The sequence below is a fragment of the Homo sapiens genome, chromosome 19 (assembly GCF_000001405.40).
Source record: "Homo sapiens chromosome 19, GRCh38.p14 Primary Assembly".
NCBI classification, from domain to species: Eukaryota; Metazoa; Chordata; class Mammalia; order Primates; family Hominidae; genus Homo; species Homo sapiens.
The window spans coordinates 45,008,370-45,023,900 of record NC_000019.10 but is presented as its reverse complement, the minus strand read 5'-3'; the positions used below and the strand labels follow the sequence as shown (position 1 = coordinate 45,023,900).

Genomic DNA, 15,531 nt, shown 5'->3' with positions numbered 1-15,531 from the left:
CTGGCGCCTGTAATCCCAGCTACCTGGGAGGCTGAGGCAGGAGAATCGTTTGAATCCAGGAGGCAGAGATTGCAGTGAGCAGAGATCGTGCCATTGCACTCCAGCCTGGGTGACAGAGTGAGACTCGGTCTCAAAAAAAAAAAAAAAAAAAAAAAAAAAAGAGGCTGGGCACAGTGGGCTCACACCTGTAATCCCAGCACTTTGGGAGGCCGAGGCGGGCGGATCACGAGGTCAGGAGATGGTAACCATCCTGGCTAACACGGCGAAACCCCGTCTGTACTAAAAATACAAAAAAAATAGCCGGGTGTGGTGGTGGGCGCCTGCAGTCCCAGCTACTTGCGAGGCTGAGGCAGGAGAATCACTTGAACCCAGGAGGCAGAGCTTGCAGTGAGCCGAGATCGCGCCACTGCATTCCAGCCTGGGCGACAGAGCGAGACTCTGTCTGAAAGAAAGAAAGAAAGAAGGACGGAAGGAAGGAAGGAAGGAAGGAAGGAAGGAAGGAAGGAAAGAAAACTGCAAATTAAACACCAATGAAGATGCCTTTGTTTTGGGGCACTCATCAAAATAGCAAAAATCAAAATGTTTCATAATACTCGGTGCTGGTGAGGTTGTGGAGAATCAGGTGCTCTCACCCATTACTGATGGGTCTGTAAATTGCATAACATGGCAGTATTCATTCATTCCACAAATATTTCCTGAGCACCTACTATGTGCCAGTTACTATGCCAGACACTCGGAATACAGCAGGGAATGTAAGAGACAAGATCTCTGCTCTCGGAACTTATATTTTCACTAAGTTTAAAAATTTCTAAAATTAAATCTTCCAGACCTGAGTGTGAGCAATACTCAGCCCTACCTCTGAAGTGCGTGCTGCCTTTAGGGCTCTACCCAAAGTCAGTGTAACACAGTGAAGTGTGTCACTACCTTTCTGTCTCTTTGCACTATGAAAAAATGCTCAAAGTTTTAGATGTAGCCACTGTATGTTGTGTAAGCATTTGTGGACATATGCAAAATAAAAGTTATACAGTGCTTCTGTTTTAAAAAGAAAGAAAAGGCCGGCACGGTGGCTCATGCCTGTAATCCCAGCACTTTGGGAGGCCGAGCTGGGAGGATCACCTAAGGTCAGCAGTTCGAGACCAGCCTGGTCAACATGGTGAAACCCCATTTCTACTAAAAATCCAAAAAATTCGCTGGGTGTAGTGTCGCATGCCTGTAATCTCAGCTACTCGGGAGTCTGGGGCAGGAGAATCACTTGAATCCGGGAGGTGGAGGTTGGAGTGAGCTGAGATCGAACCATTGCACTCCAGCTTGGGCAACAAGAGCAAAACTCCGTCCCAAAAAAAAAAAAAAAAAGATGAATTGTAAAGTAAGAGAAAGAACAGACCTTGCAGTTAAGTCAGGTCTGCAGTCAAATCCCAGCTCTGTCATCAATTATCTGTGCTCCTTACCCTCTCTGAGCCTCAGTTTCTTCCTCTACAAAATAGGGATAAAATGTATGTGAATATGTGTGTGGCAAGGCTCCAGGCCTAAGTGAGGCCCTCCACTGTCCCCAGGCCTGTCTCCCACCTAGAAGAGGCAGTGGGGAGGGTTTACCCAAGCTGCCCTCTGCTCTAAAGTTTCATGGGTGGCCTCCAGTCGCTTAGAATCTCCATGATCAAGGATGAGAGGTCGGAGGTCAGGGGGTGGGTACCTGTGCCGGGGGCTGACGTGAGGCCGGAGCCGCACCCTGCAGATGCCGTCGGTGCAGTCTTTCCCCACGAGGCTGTGGGGGTGGACTCGGTGAGGCCAGTCCTTCCACACCAGGCAGGCAGTCACCTCCACCTCCCGCAGCCCTCCACAATCCCGGAGCTGCAGGAAGAGAAGTCCTCTTTGGGGGTCCCATCACCGATGCCTGCGTCCATCCAAACTCCTTGGGGCCTTCCTTGGCAGCTCCCCAATCCTCTCCCCACTAGGGTCCTCTGTTGGGAGCTCCCCAACCTTCTCCCGCGACCAGGATGATGGAATGTGTTTGCTTAAGACCACTTTGGGCCGGGCGAGGTGGCTCACGCCTGCAATCCCAGCACGTTGGAAGGCCGAGGTGGGCGGATCACCTGAGGTCGGGAGTTCCAGACCAGCCTGGCTAACATGGTGAAACCCAGTCTCTACTGAAAATACAAAAATTAGCCCGGCATGGTGGCGCATGCCTGTAATCCCACCTGCTCGGGAGGCTGAGGCAGGAGAATCGCCTGAACCTGGGAGGCGGAGGATGCAGTGAGCCGAGTTCTTGACACTGCACTCCAGCCTGGGTGACAGAATATGACGGTCTCAAAAAAAAAAAAAAAAAAAAAGGCCACTTTGATATCCTAAACCAGAAGCTTCCAACTGATGAACTGGGGGGCCTCATATAATATCTGCCCTACAGGCTGCTTTTTTAGGCCACTCAGGCTTTTTTTTTTTTTTTTTTTGAGATGGAGTCTCGCTCTGTCGCCCAGGCTGGATCCGCTCACTGCAAGCTCTGCCTGCGGGTTCACGCCATTCTCCTGCCTCAGCCTCCCGAGTAGCTGAGACTACAAGTGCCCACCACCATGCCCGGCTAATTTTTTTCTATCTTTAGTAGAGATGGGGTTTCACCGTGTTCGCCAGGATGGTCTCGATCTCCTGACCTCGTGATCCGCCCGCCTCGGCCTCCCAAAGTGCTGGGATTACAGGCGTGAGTCACCGTGCCTGGCCTTTTTTAAATTTTTTTGTGACAGGGTCTCGCTGTATCACCTAAGCTAGAGTGCGGTGGCGGGAGATCTCAGCTCACTGCAACCTCCGCCTCCGGGCTCAAGGGATTCTCCTGCCGCAGCCTCCTGAGTAGCTGGGACTACAGGCGCACACTACCATGCCTGGCTAATTTTTGTGTTTTCAGTAGAGACGGAGTTTCGCTACATTGCCCAAGCTGGTCTCAAACTCCTGAACTCAAGCGATCTGCCTGCCTTGGCCTCCTAAAGCGCTGGGATGACAGGCATGAGCCACCACGTGAAAATTTCAGTGTCATGGAAGACTATAAAGATGGGTGCCATGGCCGGGTGCGGTGGCTCACGCCTGTAATCCCAGCACTTTGGGAGGCTGAGACGGGCAGATCATGAGGTCAGGAGATCGAGACCATCCTGGCTAACATGGTGAAACCCCATCTCTACTAAAAATACAAAAAATTAGCTGGGCGTGGTGGCGGGCACCTGTAGTCCCAGCTACTTGGGAGGCTGAGGCAGAAGAATGGCGTGAACCCGGGAGGCGGAGCTTGCAGTGAGCCAAGATCGCGCCACTGCACTCCAGCCTGGGCGACAGAGCGAGACTCCGTCTCAAAAAAAAAAAAAAAAAAAAAAGATGGGTGCCACATTTGGGGTTAAAAGACAACAAATGATGGGCCAGGCACAGTGGCTCACGCCTGTAATCCCAGTACTTTGGGAGGTTGAGGTGGGAGGACTGCTTGAGACCAGGAGTTCAAGACCAGCCTGGGCAACCCCGTCTCTATAAAAAATACAAAAATTAGCCAGGTGTGGTGACAGGCATCTATAATCCCAGCTACTCTGGAAGCTGAGGTGGGAGGATCACTTAAGCCTGAGACGTGGAAGTTGCAATGAGCCCAGATTGCGTCACTGCACTCCAGCCTGGGTGACAAAGTCCCTGTCTCAAAAAAGAAAAAAAAAAAAAGAGAGAGAGAGAAAGAGAATAAATCATGTATTGTGACCTGGGTGCCTGGGTGGTAGGTAGTTACACTGTGTAAACTACATATGTATACATTATATGTAAAAATTCAGAGCTTTAATCTTAACTATATATGATCAATTATATCTTAATTTTTTTAAAAAAGGAGAGAAGGGCTGCGCACAGTGGCTCACGCCTGTAATCCCGACGCTTTGGGAGGCCGAGGTGGGGGATCACCTGAGGTCGGGAGTTTGAGGAGGCCGAGGTGGGTGGATCACCTGAGGTTGGGAGTTTGAGGAGGCCGAGGTGGGTGGATCAACTGAGGTCGGGAGTTTGAGACCAGGCTGACCAACATGGAGAAACACCGTCTCTACTAAAAATACAAAATTAGCCGCACGTGGTGGCACATGCCTGTAGTCCCAGCTACTCGGGAGGCTGAGGCAGGAGAATCACTTGAACCCTGGAGATGGAGGTTGCGGTGGGCCCAGATCGTGCCATTGCACTCCAGCCTGGGTGACAAAGCAAGACTCCTTCTCAAAAAATAAATAAATACATAAATACATAAATAAAGAGAGAAGGAGAGAGACTAATGAGATAGGACAACCAAATGCAACATGATCCTTGGTTAAATCCTGGATTAAGGAGGAAGAAACAACTATAAAACACATTTTGGAAACAATTGGGAAATTGAAATATGGACTGTATATTACATGATTTGATGGGATTACTAATTTTCCTAGAGGTGATTAATGAGATTGTAGCTACAGAGGAGCTTATGATTAGGAGATACATCCTGAAGGAATTAGGGGTGAAGTAGCATGATGGCTACAATTCATTTGTAAATGAGTCATCAAAAAAACAATGTGTCGGCCAGGCGTGGTGGCTCACACCTGTAATCCCAGCACTTTTTGGAGGCCAGGGAAGGTGGGTTGCTTCAGCACAGGAGTTCAAGACCAGCCTGGGCAACATGTGCAGACCCCATCTCTACAAAAAATACAAAAATCAGCCAGGTGTGGTGGAATGCACCTGTAGTCCCAGGTACTCAGGAGGCTAAGATGGGAAAACTGCTTGAACCCTGGAGATCCGGGCTTCAGTGAGCTGTGATGGCGTCACTGTATTCCAGCCTGGGCAATAGAGCAAGACCCTGTCTCAAAACAAAACAAAAATGTATGTATCTGTGTGTGTGTATGTTTGGCTGTGCGGAGACAGAATGAGAGACACAGCAGATGTGGCAAAATGTCAACTGGTGAATATAGATGAAAGGCACTAGCTTTCAGCCGAGCGCGGTGGCTCACGCCTGTAATCTGGCGGGTGGATCACCTGAGGTCAGGAATTCGAGACCAGCCTGACCGACATGGAGAAACCCCGTCTCTACTAAAAATACAAAATTAGCAGGGCGTGGTGGCACATGTCTGTAATCCCAGCTACTCGGGAGGCTGAGGCAGGAGAATCGCTTGAACCTGGGAGGCACAAGTTGCAGTGAGCCGAGATCGCGCCATTGCACTACAGCCTGGGCAACAAGAGCGAAACTCTGTCTCAAAAAAAATTAAAAAAAAATAAATAAATAACAGGCACTCACCTTTCAAAGATACTCAGTGTATTATTTTTTAACTTTTCTGTAGGTTTAAATTCTTATTTATTTATTTTTTTGAGATGGAGTCTTGCTCTGTTGCCCAGGCTGGAGTGCAATGGCATGATCTCAGCTCACTGCAACCCCTGCCTCCCAGGTTCAAGCCATTCTCGTCTCTACCTTCTAAGTAGCTAAGATTACAGGTGCCTGCCACCATGCCTGGCTAATTTTTGTATTTTTATTTTATTTTACTTTTTTGAGATGGAGTCTCGCTCTGTTGGCCAGGCTGGGGTGCAGTGGCACGATCTCAGCTCACTGCACGCTCCACCTCCTGGGTTCACGCCATTCTCCTGCCTCAGCCTCTCGAGTAGCTGGGACTATAGGCGCCCGCCACCACACCTGGCTAATTTTTTGTATTTTTAGTAGAGACGGGGTTTCACCATGTTAGCCAGGATGGTCTCCACCTCCTGACCTTGTGATCTGCCTGCCTTAGTCTCCCAAAGTGCTGGGATTACAGGCCTGAGCCACCACGCTCGGCCAAGAATTTTTGTATTTTTAGTATAGATGGGGTTTCTCCATGTTGGCCAGGCTGGTCTCGAACTCCTGACCTCAGGTGATCCACCTGCCTCGGCCTCCCAAAATGCTGGGATTACAGGCGTGAGCCACCGCGCCTGGTCTCTAGGTTTAAATTCTTTTATCATCCAAACTAATCAAAAGGGCTGGGCACGGTGGTTCGTGCCTGCAATCCCAGCACTTTGGGAGGCTGAGGCGGGTGGATCACCTGAGGCCAGGAGTTCGAGACCAGCCTGGGCAACATGGCAAAACCCCCTCTCTACTAAAAATACAAAATTAGCCAGGCATGATGGTACAGGCCTGTAATCCTACCAACTCAGGAGGCTGAGGCAAGAGGACTGCTTGAACCTGAGAGGCAGAGATCGCACCATTGCACTCCAGCCTGGGCAACAAGAGCAAAACTCTGTCTCAAAAAAAAAAAAAAAGGAATAATAACAAATTCATCAAAATGTATACATTAAGTATGTGCAATTTTTCTTACATCAATTATACCTCAATAAAACTTAAAAAGAAAAACTAGACAGGAAAAAACTAAAACTTTTTTTTCCAAGTAAAAGATTAGGAAAAACTTGGAGCCCACAATTAAAATTATAAGACATCACATTATTTCGGATTTCCAGAATTGTTTTTTTTTTTTTTAGACAGATTCTCTCTGTTGCCCAGGCTGGAGTGCAGTGGTGCGATCCCAGCCTCCAGGGCCTCGAACTCCTAACCTCAGGTGGTCCGCCCACCTCGGCCTCCCCAGATTTTTCTTTTTTAAAAAAGGAAGATATAGCAAGTGAAGCCAGAATTTTTGCTCAGCAGCCACAGGCAGCAGCAAATAAAAACCAGCCCCGTTAGGCAGGGCCAGTCCCACTTGGCAGCTTTGAGTCACTGGCTCAGCCCTGCTGGCATTAAATACCTTCTGAAGCCTGCTCTGAACTTCTAAAGCCCAAGCCTATAAAATACCATTAACCATTGGTCTCAGTGGGGGAGTGCTGCCCCCTAGGGGAAAAATGGGATTTGGGGGGTGGCTGGTTGACACTGATGTGGACCCTACCGCAAGTAGACAGGACCAGTTATGCTGGACAGTTTATAATACCAGGGACAGTCCCGCACAGCCATCCCACAGCCAGCAAGCCTTCTGAACATCCTGCCAAAGATTCGAGTCAATAAGAAACCTGTTTAAAATGACCAGATCCCAGAAACTTGCTCTATTGTTGCTGAGTGGATTTGTTTGTTTGTTTGTTTGTTTGTTTTTAAGACAGGATCTCGCACAGGCTGGAGTGCAATGGCACGATCTCAGCTCACTGCAACCTCCGCCTCCCAGACTCAAGCAATACTTCCACTTTAGTCTCCCAAACATCTGGGCTTACAGGCATGCATCACACCTGGCCCTTGCTCTGTTTGACACCAATAATATTCTTTCCCATAATTGTTTTTCCTTTTTCTTTTTTGAGACGAGGTCTAACTCTGTCACCCAGGCTGGAGTTTCCCATAACTGTAATACCCACTGAATTTTCAAAGATTGCAACCAGCACACTAATTGTTTAGACCAAGAGTTGTTCGCCACTTTGGAAAATCCCCTCACCAACCGCAACCCTGCACGTGTGACATATAAGTCACTAAGTCTGCGCAGCTGGGTCAGGCTGCATTTGTGGCCACGGCATTAACAAGGAGCCTATATATAGTCACAAACAACTGCCACCTTCCTCATATATCCTGTGGGGCGTTTACATATTGAAATAAATGTGATTATATATGCTGTATTAATTTCCTTTTCTTTCTCTTTTATACTACAGTTTGGTGTAAAATATGGAGTTTTGGCCAGGCACGGTGGCTCACGCCTGTAATCCCAGCACTGTGGGAGGCTGAGGCAGGCAGATCACTTGAGGTCAGGAGTTCGAGACCAGCCTGGCCAACATGGTGAAACCCCGTCTCTACTAAAAACACAAAAATTAGCCGGGCCTGCTGGCAGGTGCCTGTAATCTCAGCTACCCGGGAGGCTGAGGCAGGAGAATCACTTGAACTCAGGAGGCGGAGGTTGCATGCCACTGCACTCCAGCCTGGGTGACAGAGCGAGACTGCATCTCAAAAAAAAAATAATAATAAAATAAAATAAAATATGGACTTTGGGAGTGACTGTGAATAGAGGTAGGTAATATTGTCTACAAATCTCACTGGGTCAGATAGGGTTAAAACCATTCATTTAACCAGCTCCCCGCTGTAATAGTAGGAGATTCTGAAAAGCTTAGAGTCAACAGTCTCGGACTCATGCAGACTCCAGGGCTGAAAGCTTTTCATCCTTGAGATGTCAGTTGGGACTGTGGAAAAAACATTAGACTTTAGTTGTTTCTTTTTTCTTTTTTTTTTTTGAGATAGCATCTTTCTCTGTCACCCAGACTGGAGTGCAGTGGTGTGACCATGGCTCACTGCAGCCTCCACTTCCCAGGCTCAAGCAATCCTCCCCATTCAGCCTCCCATGGTGCTGGGACCCCAGGCGCATGCCACCACGCCTGGCTAATTTTTTTATTTTTATAGAGACGGGCATCTTGCCATGTCACCTGGGCTGGTCTTGAACTCCTGGCCTCAAGTGATCCTCCTGCCTTAGTCTCCCAAGGTGCTGGGATCACAGGCATGAGCCACCATGCCTGGCCCATTAGGCTTTAGAATAAGTCCGACCTGGCACCAAATCCAGGCTCTACCACTGGCCATCTACAAGATAAACCTCTCGGGTCTTACTGTCTTTATGTGTAAAATAGGTATGCAAAGTACCTGGTACATGGAAGCACTCAGTAAATGGCGGTAATTACAATAGTAAACTTGCTGTGTGCCCTGTGCAGGTAACTGCCCCTCTTTTAACCTCAGTTTCCTACTCTGAAGATGGGGATAAACATCCTGAATCCAAGCCAGGCATGCTGGCTCATGCCTGTAATCCCAGCACTTTGGGAGGCCGAGGCAGGTGGATTACCTGAGGGCAGGAGTTTGACATCAGCCTGGCCAATGTGGTGAAACCCTGTCTCTACTAAAAATACAAAAATTAGCTGGGCATGGTGGTGCACACCTGTAATCCCAGCTACTTGGGAGGCTAAGACAGGAGAATCGCTTGAACCCAGGAGGCGGAAGTTGCAGTGAGCTGAGATCACACCACTGCACTCCAGCCTGGGCAACAGAGCAAGACTCCGTCTCAAAAAAAAAAAAAAAAATCCTGAATCCAGATTTGGAGACAGGTCATTCCCTATGGTTAGGCATTTACCATTCTAAATCTTGGAAATCAAAACCAACTCTGGGGTCCGAGCACGGTGGCTCACACCTGTAATCCCAGCACTTTGGGAGGCTGAGGCAGACAGATCACTTGGGGTCAGAAGTTCAAGACCAGCCTGGCCAACATGGTGAAACCCCATCTCTACTAAAAGTACAAAATATTAGCCGGACATCATGGCGCGTGCCTGTAATCCCAGCTACTTGGGAGGCTGAGGCAGGAGAATCGCTTGAACCCAGGAGGTGGAGGTTGCTGTGAGCTGAGATTGCACCATTGCACTCCAGCCTGGGTGACAGAGCAAGATTCCATCAAAAAAAAAACCAAAAAACAAAAAAAAACTCTGAGCCAGAATAACTGCCTGGGAAGACTTAGAAATTAGGCCGGTGCGGTGGCTCACACATGTAATTCCAACACTTTGGGAGGCCAAAGTGGGAGGATTGCTTGAGGCCAGAAGTTCAAGACCAGCCTGGACAACATGGTGAGATGCCAACTCTTCAAAAAAATACAAAAATTAGCCAGGCACGGTGGCATGCACCTGTAGTCCCAGCAACTCAGGAGGCTGAGGTGGGAGGGTCTCTTGAGCCTGGGAGGTGGAGGCTGCAGTGAGCCGTGCTTGTGCCACTTTACTCCAGCCTCTGTGACAGAGAGAGACCCTGTCTCCAAAAAAAAAAAAAAAAAAGCCTTAGAAATTAGAAGTTGGGGAATACAGTTAAACATGGGATGATACATCTCAGTATATCATCCCATAGATAACTTACCAATTCATTACAAAGGGAAAGTTGTATCTTTATCATGGAGAGACCTGATAGTCACCACATTAGCTGGAGGATCCAACTCAGCATCACCAATATTGGGAATAACGACATCCCACGTCCCTTGATGTGAGACACTGAGAAGGCCACAGCATCACTGCTGGAGTGTTTCTGCCAAAAATGCATAATCTGACCTAATCTGGAAACAGCCAACAAACCCAGAATGTGGGATATTCTTTTTTTCTTTTTCTTTTTCTTTTTTTTAGAAGGAGTTTTGCTCTTGTCGCTCAGGCCGGAGAGCAATGGCACGATCTTGGCTCACCGCAGCCTCTGCCTCCCGGATTCAAGTGATTCTTCTGCCTCAGCCTCCCGAGTAGCTGGGATTACAGGCATGCACCACCACGCCGCACTAATTTTGTATTTTCAGTAGACATGGGGTTTCTCCATGTTGGTCAGGGTGGTCTCGAACTCCCGACCTCAGGTGATCCGCCTGCCTCGGCCTCCCAAAGTGCTAGGATTACAGGCATGAGCCACCACGACCAGCTTCAGAATGTGGGACATTCTACAAAACATCCGTCCTGTTCTGCACAAATGTTCAACTCACGAAACACAAAGACAGATTGAAGAACAGATCCAGATTAACAGACACCAAAGAGGCCAGGCACAGTGGCTCACACCTGCAATCCCAGCACTCTGGAAGGCCAAGGCATGCGGATCACTTGAGGTCAGGGGTTTGAGACCAGCCTGGCCAACATGGCAAAACCCCTTCTCTACTAAGAAATACAAAAATTAGCCAGGCGTGGTGGTGGACCTGTAATCCCAGCTACTCGGGAGGCTGAGGCAGGAGAATCGCTTGAACCCGGGAGGTGGAGGTTGCAGTGAGGCGAGATCACACCACTGCACTCCAGCCTGGGCAACAGACCAAGACTCCGTCTCAAAAAAATAAAACTTACCTGTACCTTATTAATACATTAATACCCTGCCAAAAGTAATCACCTTTGCTTTTTTTACTTCCAGTGTTATATATATTTGTTTGTTTTTTAATGGAGGCAGGGTATTGCTCTGTTGCTCAGGCTGGAGTGCAGTGGTGCGATCTTGGCTCACTGTAGCCTTGACCTCCTAGGCTCAAGCGATCCTCCCACCTCAGCCCTACCATGTAGCTAGGACTACAGCCATGTGCCACCACACCTGGCTAATTTTTGTATTTTTTGTAGAGATGGGGTTTTGCCGTCTTGCCCAGGCTCATCTAGAACTCCTGAGCTCGAGTGATCCGCTCGCCTCGACCTCCCAAAGTGCTAGAATTACAAGCCTGAGCCACCGCACCACGATCTGCCTTCTTTTTTTTTTTTCTTTTTTTTTGAGACAAGGTCTCACTCTGTTACCCAGACTGCTATGCAATGGTGCAATCTCAGCTCACAGCAGCCTGCACCTCCCTGGGCTCAGCTAATCCTCCCACCTCGGCCTCCTAAATAGCTGGGATTGTGCCACCACACTCGGCTAATTTGTGTACTTTTAGTACAGATGGGGTTTCACCATGTTGGCCAGGCTGGTCTCGAACTCCTGACATCAAGGGATCCGCCCGCCTCAGACTCCCAAAGTACTGGGATTACAGGCGCGAGTCACCGTGCCCAGCCAAATGTCCGACCCCTCCTTTTTTCTGAACCTTTTGGATTCCAGGCCAGGTGATAGTATAATTAATATCTGGTCCAACAATAACAACAACAGCCACCATCAAATAAACGTATAAATGCATGTGGATGGCTCCGGGGTGCAGGGGAAGCCCCAGTCCCACCCGCCCGGGGCCGCTCGCCGGGCCCACCTCGATGGCGGGCAGCGTCTTGCTGGCCTCGGTGCTGCTCTCCCCAAGGATGCTGCCGGCCGAGCGGCCCTCGCACTCGTAGCGGAAGCGCATGCCGCGCTGCTTGGGCTGCTCCGTGATGACCAGGTGCGGCTGCGGGCCCGGGCCCGGCGCTGGGGACACTAGTCGGCCCAGGGGGCAGCCCCAAGGCGGCGGCGTGGCTGGGGGCGCCACAGGGCCCAGGGTGACCGTGCTCAGGGACGCAGCCCCGCGAGACACCAGGCGTGGCAGCCCCTCGCCCGGGCCCGGCTGTCCCCCGTCCAGGCCGAAGCCGTTCTCCTTGATGTACTCGTCGATGATCTCTGCGGGAGAAGAAAAAACGGGTGGTGACGCCCATTCTTTAAAAAATTAAAAAAAAAAAAAAAGGCTTGATTACCCCCGAGACGTTTTCCATCCCATTTATCTCTCTCTCTCTCTCTCTCTCTCTCTCTCTCTCTCTCACACACACACACACACACACACACACACACACACACACACAGAGTCAGGGAGGCCAGGTGCGGTGGCTCACGCCTGTAATCCCAACACCTTGGGAGGCCAAGGTGGGTGAATCAATTGAGGTCAGGAGTTCGAGACCAGCCTGGCCAACATAGTGAAACCCCGTCTCTACAAAAATTAGCCCGAATGGTCTCCCACGTCTGTAATCCCAGCTACTCAGGAGGCTGAGGCAGGAGAACAGCTTGAACCCAGGAGGCGGACACTGCAGTAAGTCAAGATCGTGACACTGCACGCCAGCCTGGGCGACAGAGTGAGACTCCGTCTCTCAATAAATAATAGGCTGGGCGCGGTGGCTCATGCCTGTAATCCCAGCATTTCGGGAGGCCGAGGCGGGCGGATCATGAGGTCAGGAGATCGAGACCATCCTGGCTAACACAGTGAAACCCTGTCTCTACTAAAAATACAAAAAATTAGCCAGGCATGGTGGCACGTGCCTGTAGTCCCAGCAACTCAGGAGGCTGAGGCAGGAGAATCGCTTGAAACCGTCAGGCGGAGGTTGCAGTGAGCCGAGATTGCGTCACTGCACTCCATCCTGCGCAACAGAGCAAGACTCCATCTCAAAAAATAATAATAATAAATAAATAAATAGGCTGGGCATGGTGGCTCACGCCTGTAATCCCAGCACTTTGGGAGGCCGAGGCAGGCGGATCACCTGAGGTCAGGAGTTTGAGACCTGCCTGGCGAACATGGTGAAACCCCATCTCCACTAAAAATATAAAAATTGGGCATGGTGATGTGTGCCTGCAGTTCCAGCTACTCGGGAGGCAGAGGCAGGAGAATCACTTAAACCTGGGAGGTGGAGGTTGCAGTGAGCCAAGATCATGCCATTGCACTCCAGCCTGGGCAACAAGAGCGAAATTCCATCTCTAAATAAATAGATAAATAAATACAAAAATGAGCCAGGTATGTTGGTGCATGCCTGTACTCCCAGCTACTCGGGAGGCTGAGGCAGGAGAATTGCTTGAACCTGGGAGGTGGAGGTTGCAGTGAGCTGAGACAGCACCACTGCACTCCAGCCTGGGCGACAGAGCGAGACTCTGTCTCAAAAAATAACTTAAATAAATAAATAAGAAAGAACTTGCTCCTCCAACTGCCTGTTCCACACGGTCCCCCATTCAACCCATGCTGGCTGCTTCTCCTCCTGGTCTCAGCTCGTATGTTATCTCTTCAGAAAAGCCTAACCTAATGTGTCTTCTCCAGGCCATCTCTCCCTCGTCCTGTTTATTTCTTTCACAGCTCTCAGCCCAGGCTAACATTATCTTGCTCATCTGTTCATTTTCCTCTGTCTCCCACACCGGGCTATCAGCTCTGCGAGGGCAGGGACTTGGTTTTGTTCATGGCTAAATCCCCAGGGCCTAAAACAGTGTCTGTCTGTACTCACTAGGGGATTAATAACATTATTTTATTTTAATTGGTTTTCTTTTTGAGACACGGTCTTGCTCTGCCGCCCAGGCTGCAGTGCAGTGGTGCAATCATAGCTCACTGCAGCCTCGGCTTCCAAGGCAACCTCCCAGGCTCAGGTGATCCTCCCACTTCAGCCTCCTGAGCAGCTGGGACTACAGGTGCGCACCACCATGCCCGGCTAATTTTTAAAAATTTTGTGTAGAGATGGGGGTCTCACTATGTTACCCAGGCTAGTCCTGAACTCCTGGCCTCAAGCAGTCCTCCTGCCTCTGCCTCCCAAAGTGCCAGGATTACAGGTGTGAGTCACACAGCCCCCGGCGTGCTGAGTGTTTTCCAAGTGTCAAGCACTGCTAAGTACCTTAGGAGCATGACTTCGTTCAAATCCCTCCACAGTCCTGGAAGTCACACAGTGACACCTCTCCCCCACCCCCACTGAACAAGGAAGGCCAAGACCCCCTTCTGTAGGCACTTGGGTCCCTCAGCCTCCCCGCAAACCTGCCCTGTGATACTCACCCAATTCATCTGTGGAAGGAAGAGAAAGAGAAAGAGAAAGGTAAGGTCCAGAAAGTGGTCACAACTTTTCATCTTTTAAGACAGATTCCCCAACCCTGTCCCTCCTGTGACCCTTCCGTCTTCCTCCGTCCTGGGAAACCCTGGGCTCTGACTTGCTGGGGCACTAAACCCCAAACCTCATCTTCTCCTCTGGGCTACCATCCTTTCAACCTCTAATGTTGGGGTCCCAGCATCAGGGTATCCTCCAACTAAGCCAAATGCCTCCCGAAAAACATTTAGACCAGGGATTATGAAGTCTTTTTGGGAACCCATTAGAAAGGGGTCTTAGCACCAGGAAAAAGTGGATGCCCAAATTTCCAAACAAATTGGGGTGTGTTCCCTCCCTGAAGTCCACCCCAGGGTCCTGGAGGTCACTGGCTGGTGTTTAAAGATACAAAGAGGTGGCCAGGCCTGGTGGCTCACGCCTGTAATCCCAGCACTTTGGGAGGCTGAGGTGGGCAGATCACTTGAGGTCAGGAGTTCGAGACCAGCCTGGCCAACATGGCGAAACCCCGTCTCTACTAAAAATACAAAAATTAGCTGGGTATCGTGGTGGGCACCTGTAATCCCAGCTACTCGGGAGGCTGAGGCAGGAGAATCGCTTGAACTCAGGAGGCAGAGGTTGCAGTGAGCTGAGATTGCGTCACTGCACTCCAGCCTGGACAACAGAGCGAGACTGTCTCAAAAACAAACAACAACAACAACAAAAAGATGCAAAGAGGCTGATCTGAACCCAGGCAGCCTCTTGCTCTGTACCCCAGCCCTGTCCTCCCACAGTGACCACCCAAAATCCCAGATTCACCCCTGCTTCCTAAGTGAGGAGGTACAGTAATGCTGGGTCCTCAGGGAAGCCCCTTTTCACCTCCCCAGGAAAGCTCAGCCCTTCACAGAATCGTGGAGGAATCGAAACCGACCTCCCGTCATTCCATAGACAGGACAAGGGGAAGCCCAGAGGCCGCCAGTGAGCCTTAGAATCACACAGCAACGGAAGGCAGCTGCAGCCAGGTGTCCCACCCAGGGCTGCCTGCGCTGGTCTCTGGCTGGGGATTTATAGACGCGAACCTGTTCCGCTGCTAGATCTGTCCTCCTCTGTTCTCAGGGAGTGGCTCCTGGCAGCCAGACCTTTGCCCCTTGAAAGGTAGTTTTCCTGCACCCCTTATCTCATGGGATCTGTGAAGCCAGTAGGGTGCCAAGGTCCCCCCAATTTGGCAGATGGGGATACTGAGGCTGGCAGAGAGGAAGGGACACGCTCTAGGTCAGTGGCAGGGCCAACCTCAAGTCACTTGAACTGGGAAAATCCTTCTTAGGCATCTGTGCTGGATGAACCTGGGGACCCAAAGACAGAGTTAGACTTTGGACCCTCCAGAGGCTCCCGGGCTGTAGGGGGAGACTGAGTCCTGGGCGGCTGTGGCTG

At 50.1% G+C, this 15,531-nt stretch overlaps 1 protein-coding gene across 5 annotated transcripts in view, besides 3 other annotated features; it reads right to left on the bottom strand.

Moving 5' to 3' along the window:
- RELB (RELB proto-oncogene, NF-kB subunit) overlaps nucleotides 1–15,531 on the bottom strand; it is a 36,729-nt gene that overhangs the window by 14,292 nt on the left and 6,906 nt on the right. For 2 of the 5 annotated variants that reach the window (NM_006509.4, XM_005259128.3), the window contains exons 3-5: nucleotides 14,079–14,087; nucleotides 11,625–11,965; nucleotides 1,691–1,848 (exon numbers count right to left, since the gene is read on the bottom strand). In NM_006509.4, coding sequence (NP_006500.2) covers nucleotides 1,691–1,848; nucleotides 11,625–11,965; nucleotides 14,079–14,087 — 508 coding nt within the window. Of the gene's footprint in view, nucleotides 1–1,384; nucleotides 1,664–1,690; nucleotides 1,849–11,624; nucleotides 11,966–14,078; nucleotides 14,088–15,390; nucleotides 15,444–15,531 lie in introns of those variants that run through there. The other 3 variants (XM_047439189.1, NM_001411087.1, XM_047439190.1) reach the window with 3 other exon arrangements.
- Nucleotides 3,476–3,770: an enhancer, noted in NCBI's record as "tiled region #3318; HepG2 Activating DNase matched - State 9:DNaseU". NCBI's record gives its function as "activates a minimal TATA promoter and a strong SV40 promoter by Sharpr-MPRA in HepG2 cells {active_cell/tissue: HepG2}" and the evidence as "EXISTENCE:reporter gene assay evidence [ECO:0000049][PMID:27701403]".
- Nucleotides 6,677–6,886: a silencer, noted in NCBI's record as "silent region_10749". NCBI's record gives its function as "represses an Ori minimal core promoter by ATAC-STARR-seq in GM12878 lymphoblastoid cells {active_cell/tissue: GM12878}" and the evidence as "EXISTENCE:reporter gene assay evidence [ECO:0000049][PMID:35858748]".
- Nucleotides 11,767–12,268: an enhancer, noted in NCBI's record as "H3K27ac hESC enhancer chr19:45514891-45515392 (GRCh37/hg19 assembly coordinates)". NCBI's record gives its function as "activates a minimal SCP1, AML or CMV promoter by ChIP-STARR-seq in naive H9 embryonic stem cells {active_cell/tissue: H9 hESC(naive)}" and the evidence as "EXISTENCE:reporter gene assay evidence [ECO:0000049][PMID:30033119]".